This window comes from Homo sapiens, chromosome 12 (genome assembly GCF_000001405.40).
Source record: "Homo sapiens chromosome 12, GRCh38.p14 Primary Assembly".
NCBI lineage: Eukaryota > Metazoa > Chordata > Mammalia > Primates > Hominidae > Homo > Homo sapiens.
This window is the reverse complement of record NC_000012.12, coordinates 95,592,487-95,609,454: the sequence shown is the minus strand read 5'-3', so window position 1 is coordinate 95,609,454 and position 16,968 is coordinate 95,592,487.

Sequence of the window (16,968 nt, the reverse complement as noted above, 5' to 3'; positions counted from 1 at the left end):
TGGGATTACAGGTGTGAGCCACTGTGCCCAGCCTTATATAATTCTTTAGGCTATAAATTACTAACTCTAAAAATTATCAAAAGGAGAGTTAGAGCTTTTTATACATAACTCCTCAAGATTCTTAGTCTTTTAGACACAGCAAAAGAGGAATAAAAATTTTCAAACAAATAGTTGAAAGTGTTCACTGTGGGAATCCTTTTTTGGTTTGTCCGTTTGAGACAGTCTTGCTCCATTGCCCAGGCTGGAGTGCAGCGGCAAAATCTTGGCTCACTGCAACCTCCACCTCCCAGGTTCAAGCCATCCTCCTGCCTCAGCCTCCTGAGTAGCTGGGATTACAGACGCCTGCCACCAAGCCTGGCTATTTTGGATTTTTAGTAGAGACGGGAGTTTCACCATGTTGGCCAGGCTGGTCTTGAACTCCTGATCTCAAGCAATCCACCCTCCTCAGCCTCCAGAAGAGCTGGGATTACAGGCGTGAGCCACTATGCCCAGCCAACTGTGAGAATTCTTAATAGCCCATCTCTTCATGGGAGTTTTGCCTTTAAAAACACAGATAAATCACAGAAAAAAGCACCATTCATCTAATTATTCCAAAGAGGATGGGTCAGAGGAAGGAAAGGGAAAGCTTTTACGCAGCAGCTTGGCTTTGAGCCTTCATGTGTTTTTCGTCTGAAAAGGATCCCACTGTTTTTGGGACATAACAACATGACTAGTTTGAACACACCCAGGAAACAGTATTCCTCTGACAAGGTATTTAAAAGATTAGTGCCAGATATTGAAAGGTAGGTGTGAGTGTGAAGGCTGAGCTCAGTTGGTTTAATCGTGGGTCTTTAAATTGAGCCATCAGATAATAATATTTTTCTCCAGTCATCTAAGCAACATAAGACAAAAAGGGCAGGGAAGCTTAAAAGAGCTACTCAGAAGAACAAAATTAGAGCTGTGAGTCAACTATTTGCACATTGCAAATGTACTTCACCCACATTAACACAACATTACGCCTGGCGGTAAAGCCTGCCAACCTTGAGGCTGTGAGCCTGTTATAAGTAGTGGTTAAAGGAGCCGGCCAGATGCGGTGGCTCACGTTTGTAATCCCAGCACTTTGAGAGGCCGAGGTGGGTGGATCACGAGGTCAGGAGTTCGAGGCCAGCCTGACCAACACGGTAGAACCCCATCTCTACTAAAAATATAAAAATTAGCTGGGCATGGTGGCACGCACCTGTAATCCCAGCTACTCAGGAAGTTGAGGCAGGAGAATCACTTGAATCCAGGAAGCAGAGGTTGTAGTAGTGAGCCGAGATCGCGCCATTGCGCTCCAGCCTGGGCGACAGAGTAAAGACTCCAACTCAAAAAAAAAAAAAAAAAAAAAAAAAAAAGGCCAAAGAAGTTGACAATGTGCTTTAAAATGTCCCAAAATGCACTGTTCTTCCAAGCGAAGAGGGAGCACCTGACTTTTGGATTACCTGTCTCATAAACCTACTGTATAAACTCCTAACTTGGAATCTCTTAGTATATCAATGCTATTGTAACTGGAAAGGGTTTCCCAGATAAAAAGCAAACATGGTTCAAGGTTGAGACCTTATTAGCATTTCCAAAGAGCTGTGAAAAGCCTCTAAACTCTCTCCCCTGCCAAGTAAATTTTGTTTTGCTGAGCTTTGGCACAGTTCCTCTGTTGTCATGGGGGGGGGGGCATTATTGTCACAGCTGTCTCGGGGGTGCTGCCTTGAATACATTTCGAAAATAACACACGAATAAGGAACATGACATTGGCTATATCAAAAGAGTTTTATAAGACAATCACACCTGCTACTGCAAAACTCCAAACTGGCAGTATAAACATCACTTTGCACTTATTTAAAATTATGGGACCAAAAGATGACATTAGGTAAATGAATAAATAATTAGGTAAATAAATGTTCTTAGAGACAAGAACTTAAAGAATAAGTTAGAGAACTTAGAGGTAAGAATTTAGAGAATAACTACTTATTAGGTAAATAAATAAACACAGATGCCTTTGCTAAAACGACTAAGGAAAGCAGAGAAGATACTTGGAAGATATATTTTTAATGTGAACAATTAATGTAAACTTTCTCAAAAACAACTGTAATCCATTCTTTCCAACTGCTTCATTCAGTAAATTTCTTCTTCAAAATGACCAATTATTTTGTTTTGATTATCTTGCTCTGTAGAAAATAGTGGACTGTCATCAATATGAAAAGAATTTCACTATTCTTCTTAATTTTATGTTGATGATAAATTTAAAAGGTGGTTAGGGAAGTTGACAATAGCACATGCAATGCCTTGAATGATGGGCAAAGTGTGAATACGTTATGCAATATATGGAAATTTTCTTTACAAGTATACTGCCTTTAGGATATTTATGTTTAACCAGAATTGCAGGTTGGAACCTGCAACTAACTTGCATTTAGTGAAATTCAAGTTATTTATTATATCCTTACTAGTGAAAAACTGGCTCTGAGGTCATTTAACATCTCCTAAATGTCAAGAGGTCATTCAACTTCTTTACAATGACTTCAGGTTAACAACAAAAGCAAAGAAACGTTATCTTTGGTTGCTGCTTCCAACTGGCATCTTCAGAATCAAGGGATATAGTGCCACATCAGTACCATGTCAGACTTGCTACAGGATTTTGAAAAGATGAGTTTCCCAATCATCACTCTTTTTTCTAGAACTAGATTAGTGACTAAAATAAAGTAATAACACTCCCAGGGAACTGTGATCATCCATATTTAGATACTTCTCACCAGAAGATACAGTTGCATTACGATATTGGTTTGAACACCTTAACAGAATCCAAAATAACAGTGACTTACATAAGAGTTAAAAACTTATTTCTCAGGCTGGGCACAGTGGCTCATGCCTGTAATCCCAGCACTTGAGGAGGCTGAGAAAGGAAGACTGCTTGAGCCCAGGAGTTCAAGACCAGCCTGGGCAACATGGTGATACACTGTCTCTACAAAAAATTTTTAAAATAAAAAATCAGCCAGGCATGGTGGCATATGCCTGTAGTCCCACCTACTTGGGAAGCTGAGGTGGGAGGATCACCTGAGCCAAGGGAGGTTGAGGCTACGGTGGGCTATGATCCTGCCACTGCACTCCAGCCTGGACAACAGTGTGAGATCCTGTCAAAAACAAAAAACAAAACAAACAAAAAAAAACAAAAACAAAACGCCTTATTTTTCCTTCACATAGACATCTGAGTTAGTAGGTGATCTGGAATGTAGGGCAGTTCTCTTTCCAGGGCATCCAGAGAACCAGAGTTCATGAATGTTATTGTTCCACCAGAGCAGAGATACAGAGATAAACAAACTATAGTTAGCAGGCACCGGTTTTGGCAAATAAAATTTTACTGGAATACGGCCACATCCATTGTAGAAGTCTTGTCAATGGCTGCTTTGGAGCTACAAGGTCAGAATTGAGTCACTGGGACAGAGACCCTATGACTTTCATGGCAAAATATTTCCTATCTGGCTCTAAGAAAATGTTTACTTGGCTGGGCATGGTGGCTCACACCATAATCCCAGAACTTTAGGAGACCGAGGTGGGTGGATTGCTTGAGGAGTTCCAGATCAGCCTGGGTAACATGGCAAAACCCCACCTCTACAAAAATTAAAAAATTAGCTGGGGCCAGGCGCAGTGGCTCACACCTGTAATCCCAGCACTTGGGAGGCTGAGGCCAGATCACTTGAGGCCAGGAGTTCAAGATCAGCCTGGCCAACATGGTGAGCCCCCTCTCTACTAAAAATACAAAAATTAGGCGGGCATGGTGGCACATGCCTGTAGTCCCAGTTAGTTGGGAGGCTGAGACATGAGAATCCCTTGAACCCAGGAGGCAGAGGTTGCACTGAGCCACGATCACACCACTGCACTCCAGCCTAGGCAACACAGCAAGACTGTCTCAAATTAAAAAAAAAAAAAAGAGAGAGAGAGAGAGATTGAGAGAACGGATATCAGAGGCCAATTAGCAGGTTCTATAGACCACCTTTCTGGCCACCCAAGAATCAATGCATACCCTTCTGAGACATAAGAACACATTCATCTCCTTCCCAAGGAAACCAATCCAAAGTCCTACCCAGTTACCTCGCAGAGTCCAAGACCTCTCCATCGAGTTTGGATGTGGTTCCTTTTGGAGAAGTGACTCATCTACTAAACATCCACTCTCCACTTCTGTGACAAAGACAGGATAACCACAAGTAAAACTCCAGGTCAGACAAGGGAAGAATGGGAAACATACAGCTGTCACTCATCCTCAGCAACTGTAAAATCCTAATGAGCAGAAGCTGCAAAGATTCCCTGTCCTGGCAGAGAGTAAGTTCCTTGGTTGACCCACATGATCACCCCCAATTCTGTTGTCTGGGAGGATCTTTTGTGTCCATTATTCTCTATAGCAGCATCTGGGTCAGTATTGGAAACTACATCCTTCTTATTTTATTTATTTTTTAGAGACAGAGTCTTGTTCTGTCACCCAGGCTGGAGTGCAGTGGTGCCATCTCGGCTCACTGTAACATGTGCCTCCCGGGTTCAAGAGATTCTCCTGTCTCAGCCTCCTGAGTAGCTGGGATTACAGGTGCCTGCCACCATGCCCAGTTAATTTTTTCATTTTTAGTAGAGACGGGGTTTCACCATGTTGGTCAGGCTGGTCTCAAACTCCTGACCTCGTGATCTGCCCGCCTTGGCCTCCCAAAGTGCTGGGATTACAGGCGTGAGCCACTGCGCCTGGCAGACTTCCTCATTTTTAAAGTCAGTTTGAGTTGCACATTCCATTAACTGCATCGACATCAAGCTTTTATTAAGTAACTACTGCTGGGCACAGTGGCTCACGCCTGTAATCCCAGCCCTTTGGGAAGCTGAGGCAAGCAGATTACTCGAGCTCAGGCATTTGAGACTAGCCTGGGCAATATGACAAAACACTGTCTCTATAAAAAATATAAAAACTAGCCAGGTGTGGTGGCACAAGCCCGTGGTCCCAGCTATTCGGGAGGCTGAAGTGGGAGGATTTCTTGAGCCAAGGAGGTCGAGGCTACAGTGAGCCAAGATCACACCACTGCACTTCAGCCTGGGCAACAGAATAAGATCCTATCTCAAAAAAATAAAAACATAACTACTGTGTCAGGGACAATATTAGGCACAGAGAATATAAAAATGAAGAAGACAGCCAATTGGCTCAACATAGAGTTTTTATTCCAAAGGAAGACATGAATACCTAAAGAAATAATTATGATATATGCTATAATCAAGACAGGTGTAATGTGAGCCTAATAGAAGAAGCATTCCTTCTGCCTTTCTGGGACATTGAATCTGTTTCCCATCATAGATTCCTCAAGGGCAGAGAATCAAATCATTTTCTTCTTCTCATTCTCAATATTTGGCATAATTCCTTACACACAGCTGCTCAATAATAATATAGTATACTTATCAAAAGGATCAATTTTACTAAGTTCTCTAATGTGCTTGTTGATTTTTAGAGGATAAAGTTGAGTCCAAATGCAACGCATAATTTCATCAATATTTCCACCTAGTTTGCCAGAAGTCTCCAGCCCTATCTAGTATGTATGTGTGTATTTGGTGTACCTCCAAAATATGTTTAACATAACTTAAAATATAAAATACAGATAAAATTTAAACTGAAAATCACTTATCAAAGTGAAAAGACAAAATCAAAGTGAAAAGACAAAATTAAAGTAAAAAGGAGGAAAGGGAAGAAGTAGGAAGAAGGAGACATTCCGAAACATCTTAGAAAATCTTAAAGCGGATGATGCCAGTGGGCTTTGTAAAGATAAAAATGCTTAATTACAAAGCTTGGAGTGAGAGACAAACTAAAAATGAAACTACTGATTGTCTGTGCTTAAAGCGTCCTTTTCACTTCTCCCAACACACCCAACAGAAAATAGCTTAAGCTCAGTGGATTCATCCATCATATCGTCAGTAGATCTTAAAATCAACAGGCATTCCTAAAGAGATACATGGGCCACAGTTCCTTCATTTCAGTTATTTCCTTGGGTCCTGTATTCCTAATATTTTGGGACAGAGTGAAGCAACAACTCTATTCCCTGAACTAAAACTTCCCAGTAGGTCACAATACATTTTTTTGAAAGATTTGGATGGAGAATCTTGTCAGACAAGGCACCACCTGCCTGGATTAAGGAAACCACTCTCGCCTCTAAAAAATTCTCACCTTCCAAAAAATTACCAAATTATATGAAAACCTGTTCTAAAGTTTCAACAACTGTGATTTACATTTCTAAGAAGGAAGCTATTTTTAAGGTTGCATACATTTTTCTTAAAGACTACGTTGCTGTTAATGATGACTCTTGGATTGCAAATGAGACAAACACAACTTAAATGCGCTAAAGTAAAAAAGTAAATGAATATCTTAGAAGTTCAAATATAGCTGTATCCAGGGGTCAGACCAACATTGGCACTTCTCATCTTCTCTGTTTCCACTCGGCTCCCATGTGTTAGTTTTCTATTTATTTATTTATTTATTTATTTATTTATTTATTTATTTATTTTTGATACGGAGTCTCACTGTGTCGCCCAGGCTGGAATTGCAGTGGCGCGATCTCAGCTCATAGCAAGCTCCGCCTCCTGGGTTCACGCCATTCTCCTGTCTCAGCCTCCCGTGTAGCTGGGACTACAGGTGCCCACCACCACGCCCGGCTAATTTTTTGTATTTTTAGTAGAGACGGGGTTTCACTGTATTAGCCAGGATGGTCTCAATCTCCTGAACTCATGATCCACCCGCCTCAGCCTCCCAAAGTGCTGGGATTACAGGCATGAGCCACTGCGCCCAGCCTAGTTTTCTCTTAATATAAGGCAGACTCCATGTGGCTTAGGACAATTACTATGTGTGGTTGCATGCTGCATTCTAATGTAGCATCTTCTGCAGAGGAATCTTCCACCATCATCCATCTATCAGTTCAGCCAAGTCTCTGATTGGCCCTGCTTGGATCAATTGCCAACCTGAACCAATACCGGTGTCCAGACGAAGAAGTTACCATGACTGGTCAAGCCTGGATCATGTGCTGTTACTATAGTGAAATAAGTGAAGCCTGGGAATTGTAGCCCATCAGAATCACAGGATGTAGAGGAAAGACACTTCTGAAGAGAAAGGATGCTGAACAAAAAACAAAAAAAGACCCACTACGTAGGAAAGCACAGAGTCATGATCTCTGGGGTAAATCATATTACCCCAGAAAGTGTTTAGGCAAATGTTTAAGGGGCCTGTGACAATGAGTGCTTTTCCAATTGGAGTGGGTTGAGGGGTGAGTTGGAAAAACAGTGGCCTTCTGCCCTAGAACTAGTAACCTTGCACCATGGGAATTTGTGTTGCGTGAACCTTACAGTCTGCCTGCCCCATAGATCAACGCTTCTATTTTGTTGTTGCGTCAGGTAACATGTTTAGCTCCTAGATAGTCTATCATCTGCAAGAAAGGAGAGGTGGGCCCTAAAAGGCATGCAGTTCTTTTCAACAGCATTTTTTGAAATCCTAGGAAGATGGGAGTTATGGCATATGCTCCAGTGAGCCTGTTAAGATTACTCATGATGACTCTAGGCTATGTTTGGAACTCCTTCTAAACTGAATAAACAGATGGCCAGCAGTGGCTAAACCTGAAAGTAGTTTGAAAAATGCTGAGAATCAATTACTTTAATGCTCTCCGAGCTTAAAGGTCCTTCAAAAATGACTGGACAATATTTATTAGGAAACATGTTCCTTCTGGAATAAATTCAGCTCAAGAACAGATGTGCTGCAATATTCTGAGACATGAATTCAACGTGATGTAAAAAAGAATTATTGGCTTTACATCCCTATCACAGAAGTCTTGAGGCATAGTTAATTGATGATGATTACTTCAGGAATATTCTGAGCCAAGACTCCACCAAAAAAGAAAAGTATTTTTCTCATTAACTTCCTAATAGCACATGTTATTCACAAGAAATTCACAGGAATGGGCATGCTATATCTTGGAAAAAGAGACCAATTTGGGAATATGCTTGAGCCAGAAACAGCAAAATGGGTCGGAAAGGCAAGTTTCAGAGTTTTGAATCCTAGAAACTATGCCAATAAGATTTTCTGAGGGCCAAAAAGGACAGCGAATCTGCCAGTCCAGCTGTGAGAACACAGCTGTGAGATTTCTGAAGGAAATGATGGAGGAGAAGGCAAGCTCATAAAGTGGACACATCACCAAGCTGGGAGCAGTATTAACACACTGTAGGATGGAAATCAGCACCTAAAATACCGATTTAAAATGATTCTGGCGAGTTAGAGACTTAATCTAAAGGGGAGAAAAAGACAATAAATTTCAACAAGCCTAGTCACAAGTTAGTATCAAATAAGAAGATACAGGACCAGTATCAGGTTGTGGGCAGAAGTTGAGCAGCAATGGAACAACACAGACTACACTCTAATAGGTTATAAGAGGTAGAGATTAACTTGTCCAACTAATTCACTTTACAGGTGAAAAAAAGAAAGCCTCGCCCAGAGAGAGTGTTTCAATTATTTCTGGGTATTTCACAAATTACTCCAAAAAATACTGTCTTAAAGAAATGATTTGTTCACAATTCTTCAATTTGTGCAGGGCTTGGCAAGGAGAGCTTGTCACTGCTCCACATGGCAGCAGCTGGGATGGCGCAACTATGACTAGACAATCTACTTCCAAGATGGCCTCATTCATAGCCAGGCCAGTGGGTGCTAGCTGTCCGTTGGAAGATCGGCTGAGGCTGTTGGCCAGGGACTTTGTTCTCCACCACATGGCTTCTCCGTGTGGCTAGGTTGGGCTCGTGGAGAGGCCATGTGGAGGACAACTGCTCACAGCATGGCGGTCTTAGGATGGACATATTACATGGCAGCTGGCTTCCCCGAGAAAGCTGCTAGGTCTTCTTAAGGCTTAAGCCTTCCTCTGTGTTCTGTTGGTTAAAGCAGGCCTCACGGCCAGCCCAGATTCAAGAGAAGACTGCAGAGGGTTATGAATATCAGGAGATGTGGTTCAATCTGCTGCAGAGGGGATATGACTTGTGCAAAGTTAATTATATGCTACTGTCAATTACAGGAAAATTTTATAATAAAAATTATTTTCTTTAAAAAAAGGAGAAAAAGGAAAGTCAGCAGAAATAGTAAAAATAATCCTATTACAAGGAACATGATCAAATCTCAGCTTCACAATGTAAAAGAAACCTGGAAATCTTGGAGATAAGGTAGAAGAGAGAAATGATTATGACTGAAAGATAGGAAAAGAAAACAGAATGAATTATTATTATTATTTTTATTTTTTTGACGACAGAGCAAGACTCTGTTGTCCAGGCTGGAGTGCAGTGGCACAATCCTGGCTCACTGCCAACTTTGTCTCCCTGGTTCTAGTGATCCTCCCACCTCAGCCTCCGCGTAGCTGGAACTACAGGCCTGCACTACCTCGCCCAGCTAATTTTCTGTATTTTAGTAGAGATGGGGTCTCACTATGTTGCGCAGGCTGGTCTCAAACTCCTGAGCTCATGCAATCTGCCCACCTCAGCCTCCCAAAGTGCTAGGATTACAGGCATGAGCCACTGCACCTGGCTGAAAATTTTTTAAAAAGTAAAATTGTATAGCCTGGCATGGTAGTGCATGCCTATAGTCCCAGCTATGTAGGAGGCTGAGGGGGGAGGATCACTTGAGCCTGGGACTTGGAGGATGCAGTGAGCTGAGATCACACCACTACATTCCAGCCTGGCAACAGAGCAAAACCCTGTCCCCATCTTCAAAATAATAATAATAATAATAATAATAATAATAAAATAAAATTGTATAGCCTGTAGAGTGACTTAATAATTAAGTGAATTAAAAATTAAGTCACTGGAAAGTAACTTAATAATGATCCTCAAAGCCTGTAGATGAATATTCACTATCAATTCCTATTCTCTAAGAACAGAAATTGATTATATAAGATTTAGGTTGAAAGAATTTCCTGGAAAAAATGATAGATCAGAAAGAGGAGAATATAAAACTTTCTTTCTAAAAATCTGTAAGAGGCTAGGCACAGTGACTCACACCTGTAATCCCAGCACTTTGGGAGGCCAAGGCGGGAGAATCACTTCAGCCCAGGAGTTTGAGACCAACCTGGCCAACATGGTGAAATTCTGTCTCTACTAAAAATACAAAATTTAGCCTGGTGTGGTGGTGTGTGCCTGTAATTGCAGCTTCTTGGGTGGTTGAGGCGGGAGAATCACTTGAATCTGGGAGGTGCAGGTTGCAGTGAGCCAAGATCACACCGCTGCACTCCAGCATGGGCAGGCAGAGTGAGACCCTGTCTCAAAAAATAAATAAGTAAATAAAAATTAAAAAATAAAAATGCTTAAGAGAAGTTACAGTTAAATATATAGGGAAGAGGCCGGGCGCGGTGGCTCACGCCTGTAATCCCAGCACTTTGGGAGGTCGAGGCGGGTGGATCACGAGGTCAAGAGACTGAGAACATCCTGGCCAACATGGTGAAATCCCACCTCTACTAAAAATACAAAAATTAGCTGGGCATGGTAGCGGGCACCTGTAGTCCCAGCTACTTGGGAGGCTGAGGCAGGAGATCGCCTGAACCCAGGAGGCAGAGGTTGCAGTGAGCCGAGATCGTGCCACTGCACTCCAGCCTGGCAACAGAACAAGACTGTCTCTCAAAAAAAAAAAAAAAAAAAAAAAGTATATATATATATATGAAAGCATTCTCTGCCCTTCAAAGAATGGAAGCCTCCATGATGACTCTTTTATGAAGCTGTGAAGTTCCTAGAAAGTGGTGACACTATCTATAGTCAGGTGTCTACACCTGCCCACCTGCATTATTATTAATCCTTTTATGCCCTTGTCCTTGTCCCTGCCCTAAACCCCACTGAGGATTGGAGGTTCCTTGAAGGCAAAGATCATGTCTTGATCTTCTTATCTCAGAGCCTACAACTTGCTATCGACAGAGTATGTACTCAACAAATAAAGCATTTTGTTACTTTTGCCCATGGTAACTGATTAGATGCTAAGCATAATGATTAAATAATTGTCCAAGTATTTAGCTTAATTGATATTTACTGTGCATTGACTCTGTGCCAGGTACTGTGCTATATGCAATGAGATACTGTGGCCAGCAAAACAAACATAGTGTTCTTATAGTATAGTTTCAAAAAAAAAAAAAAAAGCCCCACCAACAGTGTAAAAGTGTTCCTAAACCTTTGTGGAAGACAGTGTGGCGATTCCTCAAGGATCTAGAACTAGAAATACCATTTAACCCAGCCATCCCATTATTGGGTTTATACCCAAAGGATTATAAATCATGCTGCTATAAAGACACATGCACACCTATGTTTATTGCGGCACTATTCACAGTAGCAAAGACTTGGAACCAACCCAAATGTCCATCAATGATAGACTGGATTAAGAAAATGTGGCACATATACACCATGGGATACTATGCAGCCATAAAAAATGATGAGTTTATGTCCTTTGTAGGGACATGGATGAAGCTAGAAACCATCATTCTCAGCAAACTATCGCAAGGACAAAAAACGAAACACCGCATGTTCTCACTCATAGGTGGGAATTGAACAATGAGAACATTTGGACACAGGAAGGGGAACATCACACACCGGGGCCTGTCATGGGGTTGGGGGAGGGGGAGGGATAGCATTAGGAGATATACCTAATGTAAATGACGAGTTAATGGGTGCAGCACACCAACATGGCGCATGTATACATATGTAACAAACCTGCACGTTGTACACACGTACCCTAGAACTTAAAGTATAATTTAAAAAAAAAAAAAAAAAAGCTTGTAATCCCAGCTACTTGGGCGCAATGGTTCACGCCTATAATCTCAGCACTTTGGGCAGATCACCTGAGGTCAGGAGTTCAAGACCAGCCTGGCCAACATGGTGAAACCCCGTCTCTACTAAAAATATAAAAATTACCCAGGCATGGTAGCAGGAGCCTGTAATCCCAGCTACATATATATATATAAAACATACATGTATGTGTGTGTGTATATATACATGTATATATATATATACACGTGTGTGTGTATATGTGTGTGTGTATATATATATATCTCACTATATAGTTTTTTAAGGAAAACTGTAGGATAACATAAGTGATGAAAATAGGAGGACTGGCCGGGTACGGTGGCTCACACTTGTAATCCCAGCACTTTGGGATGCTGAGGCAGGTGGATCACCTGAGGTCAGGAGCTCAAGACCAACCTGGCTAACATGGTGAAACTCCATCTCTACCAAAAATACAAAAATTAGCCAGGCGTGGTGGTGGGCGCCTGTAATCCCAGCTACTCGGGAGACTGAGGCAGGAGAATTGCTGGAACCCAGGAGGCGGAGGTGTAGTGAGCCAAGATCGTGCCATTGCACTCCAGCCCAGCCAACAACAGGGAGAATCTGTATCAAAAAAAAAAAAAAATAGGAGGACTAATTTATCTGGGGAGATTGAATAGTAAGTAATTATGAGCATGGGCTCTGGGGTTGGACTGGCTGCAAGGGGTTTTTTGTTTGTTTTTTTGCTTTTTTTTTTTTTTTTTTTTTTGAGATGGAGTCTCGCTCTGTCACCCAGGCTGGAGTGCAGTGGCGTGATCCTGGCTCACTGCAATCTCCACCTCCCAAGTTCAAGCATTTCTCCTGCCTCAGCCTCCTGAGTAGCTGGGATTGCAGGTGTGTGCCACCACACCTGGGTAATTTTTGTAGTTTTAGTAGAGATGGGGGGTTTCACCATGTTGGTCAGGCAGGTCTCAAACTCCTGACCTTGTGATCCACCTGCCTTGGCTTCCCAGAGTGCTGGGATTATAGGAGTGAGCCACTGCACCCAGGCAGACTGCAAGTTTCTTAACCCTGAACACCGAGGGTTTTTTTAACTGTAAAATGGGGATAAAAATAATATCTATCTTGTAAAATTGTTACAAAATTAAGCCCTTGGTATATCAGTGTCTTTTAAATTCATTTTGATTTTTGATTTATTTTTTTTCTTTTTTGAGGCTGGGCGTGGTGGCTAACGCCTGTAATCCCAGCACTTTGGGAAGCCGAGGCAGGCAGATCACTTGAGGTCAGAAATTCAAGACCAGCCTGGCCAACATGGTGAAACCCTGTCTCCTCTAAAAATACAAAAATTAGCCGGGCATGGTGGCGTGTGCCTGTAATCCCAGCTATTGGGAGGTTGAGGCAGGAGAATTGCTCAAATCTGGGAGGCGGAGGTTGCCACCACTGCACTCCAGCTTGGGTGACATGGCGATACTCCGTCTCAAAAAATAAAAAATAACATAAAATAAATTTATTTTTTGAGCTGTTCTATTTGTAAGGATTGACTTTTTCATAAGGATCTTCCTCTGGGAAGATTGACTTTGGTTTTATCTTAGAGTTCTTCAAAAAACAAAGACAAATTTTGCTCTTTGTTTTTGAATTTAATTTTCTCTTATTATTTTATTTTTAATATTTGTGGGTACACAGCAGACATAAATACTTATGGGGTATGTGAGCTATTTTGATACAGACATGCAAAGCATAACAATCACATCAGGGTAAATGGGGTATCCATCACCAAGCATTTATCCTTTGTGTTACAAACAATGCAATGATACTCTCTTTGTTATTTTTAAATGTGCAATTAAATTATTTCTTTGTTTTTAATAGGCTAAAACGTATTCTATTTTGCAATTGCCATATGCGTCAACTGGACCCTTATAAAAGCTAAGATAAATTATGAGATGTTAGTGATCTTGTTTTTCTCACATTTTGAAATATTTTGCTGTTTCATTATCCTAGGAATTTGTTCACCATTTCTGATCAGCTTTTCTTAACTATGATTTTTTTTAAAACTAAAATAATAAGAAAATGGAAGAATTGTGGAATTGCTTAGAAGGATGATACAGTAGTGAAGTAAATTACCACTAATACATTAATTTCTAATTGTACTAACCAAAGTATTAAATCGTCTTTCAAGGAGGTATAAAAGATAAATGAAAAACTATCTGCATTTTTTTTCAGCTTTTGTTAAACACAGTTGAGAGATCTGAGTGTACAAGTGAAGTTTAGGAGATGAGAGAATTCAGAAAGGGGGAAGTAACACTTCATGTGGTACACAAATACAACGACGACAGAAAAATGGTGAATAACTAACTAAGGTTTAGGAAACATTCCTCTTGATAATCTTGTGATCCCTCAGCTAGATTAAATGCACAGAAAACGCTTATAATTTTTTTATTCCCCCAACCCTGGCTGTGCTGGGCTCACAGTATGTTTTTAATAAAGACTTGATTGACCATTTGAAAGGAATGTATTCAAATCAGTCCTTAATGTCAATAAAATGGAATGGATAGAGGCATGAATCTTGCAGTCCAATTAACCTGGGTTCTCATTCCTGCTCTGCACTTACTAGATGTTTGACCTTAAGCAACCTCCCCCTCTGAGCCACAGTTTTATCATCTGTAAAAGAAGATCAATAATATTATTAGCCTCAGCCGGGCACAGTGGCTTGCGCCTATAATCCCAGCACTTTGGGAGGCCGAGGAGGGCAGATCACCTGAGGTCAGGAGTTCGAGACCAGCTTGGCCAACATGGTGAAACCCCGTCTCTACTAGAAATACAAAAATTACCCGGGCATGGTGACAGGAGCCTGTAATCCCAGCTACTCAGGAGGCTGAGGCACGAGAATTGCTTGAACTCGGGAGACAGAGGTTGCAGTGAGCCCAGATTGTGCCACTGCACTCCAGCCTGAGTGACAGTGTGAGACTCTTACCTCAAAAAAAAAAAAAAAAAAAAAAAAAAAAAAATTTATCAGCCTCTTAAGACTGAGAAGATACTTAAATGACATAACACAGGTAAAATACTTAGTACAGAGCTCAATAAGTGCTAACCTCTATTATTCATATTAGTATCATTTTCCTAGTTAACAGATATTTTTCAGCAGCATAGCAGTCAAATACAAAACCAAATGTCAACAGCAATAACAACATAGTCTCACATGATTATTCTTCCTAGAGCAGGAACCAAGTTTTTATTTAATATTAGGACTTCTGATGGTGTTACATTTGTCAGGGGGATGAATTAAAAGCCTCAGCCTGGCTTTTCCCTTAATAAGCTGGGAAAGAGAGTTCCTTAGGAATCATTGAATGACACTGAATTCGATCTCATAAAAGAAAAAGGGAAGATTAAAATGTTCATTATCATGTGTAAAGGGATTAGCACTCATACTACAGGAAAACAACCCCAAATTTGAAACTTTTTCAGGGCCAACTCGACATACTGTATGTACAACAGAAATGTAATAATATTCTTTTCAACTAGTATCAGAACTGTTTCCCAAGCTTTGTTTTTATTAAGCATGCTTAATAAAAACAAAGCTTGGGAAACAATACCAGGTCTTTTCAAGACATCTGCTAAATGAGAATAATATTAATAATTATAATAATGATAGCTAACATTTAATAAACCATAAGTATTTCACATTTTCTCATCGAATTATCATACTGATACACACTACATCAATTTTGAAGAGAAATAAAAGACACATAATGGTTTTAAACTCTGAGAAGCTGATCCCAAAAATAAGAACAGTGCGTGAGGTAGGCATTGTGATAACCACTCAGAGGCGTCTTCAATGAAGGACGTGTTACCCAGCTGCTAGTTCTGTTGGCAGATAGCCTTACCCTGTGTTAGCAACTCGATTAGCCTTCAGCTGTCACATATTCACTTCCCAGCTTGCCTCAGAAGCAGAGAGCAACCTTGCCCAAAGTCACACCCTTTCCAGGGTGGCCCATATCCAACGACTGGATGATGAGGGAATAGAAAGACTTGGCCATCTAAGGCCAACTTGGGACAACCCCAAAAGGCTATTCTAGCTTCAGAGCTTCTGGTGGGATTGGCTGAGACTGTGGCGGGTGTGCATCACAGCTGGATTTATCCCTCTGCTTCCCTCCCCCTCATTCCACAAGTCGAGATCCCAAGGGCACTCCTTAATAAATATCCTGCATGCTAAGCTCTGAGTCTGTGGCTGGGGAGCCCAATTTGCAACAATGCAAGTACACTACCAATAAAAGGTCATCTGTAGTCACACAAAATACATCACATTGTTAATAATTTACGTTACTAAATTTAGTCATCATGAAATACTGAATCTCAAACAAGCTACATTATTCTTAGTCTTATTCTCCACACTTCTACAGCCTGCAGATTGGAGGAAAGATGGCCATGGAATATCTGTGCTTTTGATGCATAGAATACAGTGCTAGTTCCAGCATAGAGTTGTAGGTGAATATTGAGAAAGAAAATTTGTCAGGCTAAAGGTGATAACTGATATTCTTAATCCAGATACAATCAAAATATAGAAAAGTAGTATCTTCCCCAGGAATAAAGAACAAATGCAAGAATACACTGCAAGGGGAGAATTTTAATTAGAGAAATTGTAAAAATAAAAAGGGAGGCCAGGTGCAGTGGCTGGCTCATGCCCATAATTCCGGCACTTTGGGAGGCTGAGGCAGGTGGATCACTTGAGGCCAGGAGTTTGAGACCAGCCTGGCCAACATGGTGAAACCCCATCTCTACAAAGAATACAAAAAATTAGCTTGGTGTGGTGGCACGTGCCTGTAGTCCTAGCTACTCAGGAGGCTGAGGTGGGAGGATCACTTGAACCCGGGAGGTTGAGGCTACAGTGAGCCAAGCTGAGATTGCACCACTGCACTCCAGCCTAGATGACAGAGTGAGACCCTGGTTCAATATGAAAAAAAAAAAAAAGGAAAGATACGACCCTTTTCCTTACCTCAACTCCCATTTAATTCCCCAAAGGAAATAATTTGTGTACATTGTTTCCAGACCTTTTTCCTTGAGTATTTGTGTATATGCTTGAACATAAGTGTTTAATAGAAATGAAATTTACTATATGTATTGCTTGACAACCCACATTATGGAAGGCAATCTGCTTTACTCAAAGCCTACTGACTTAAATGTTAATCG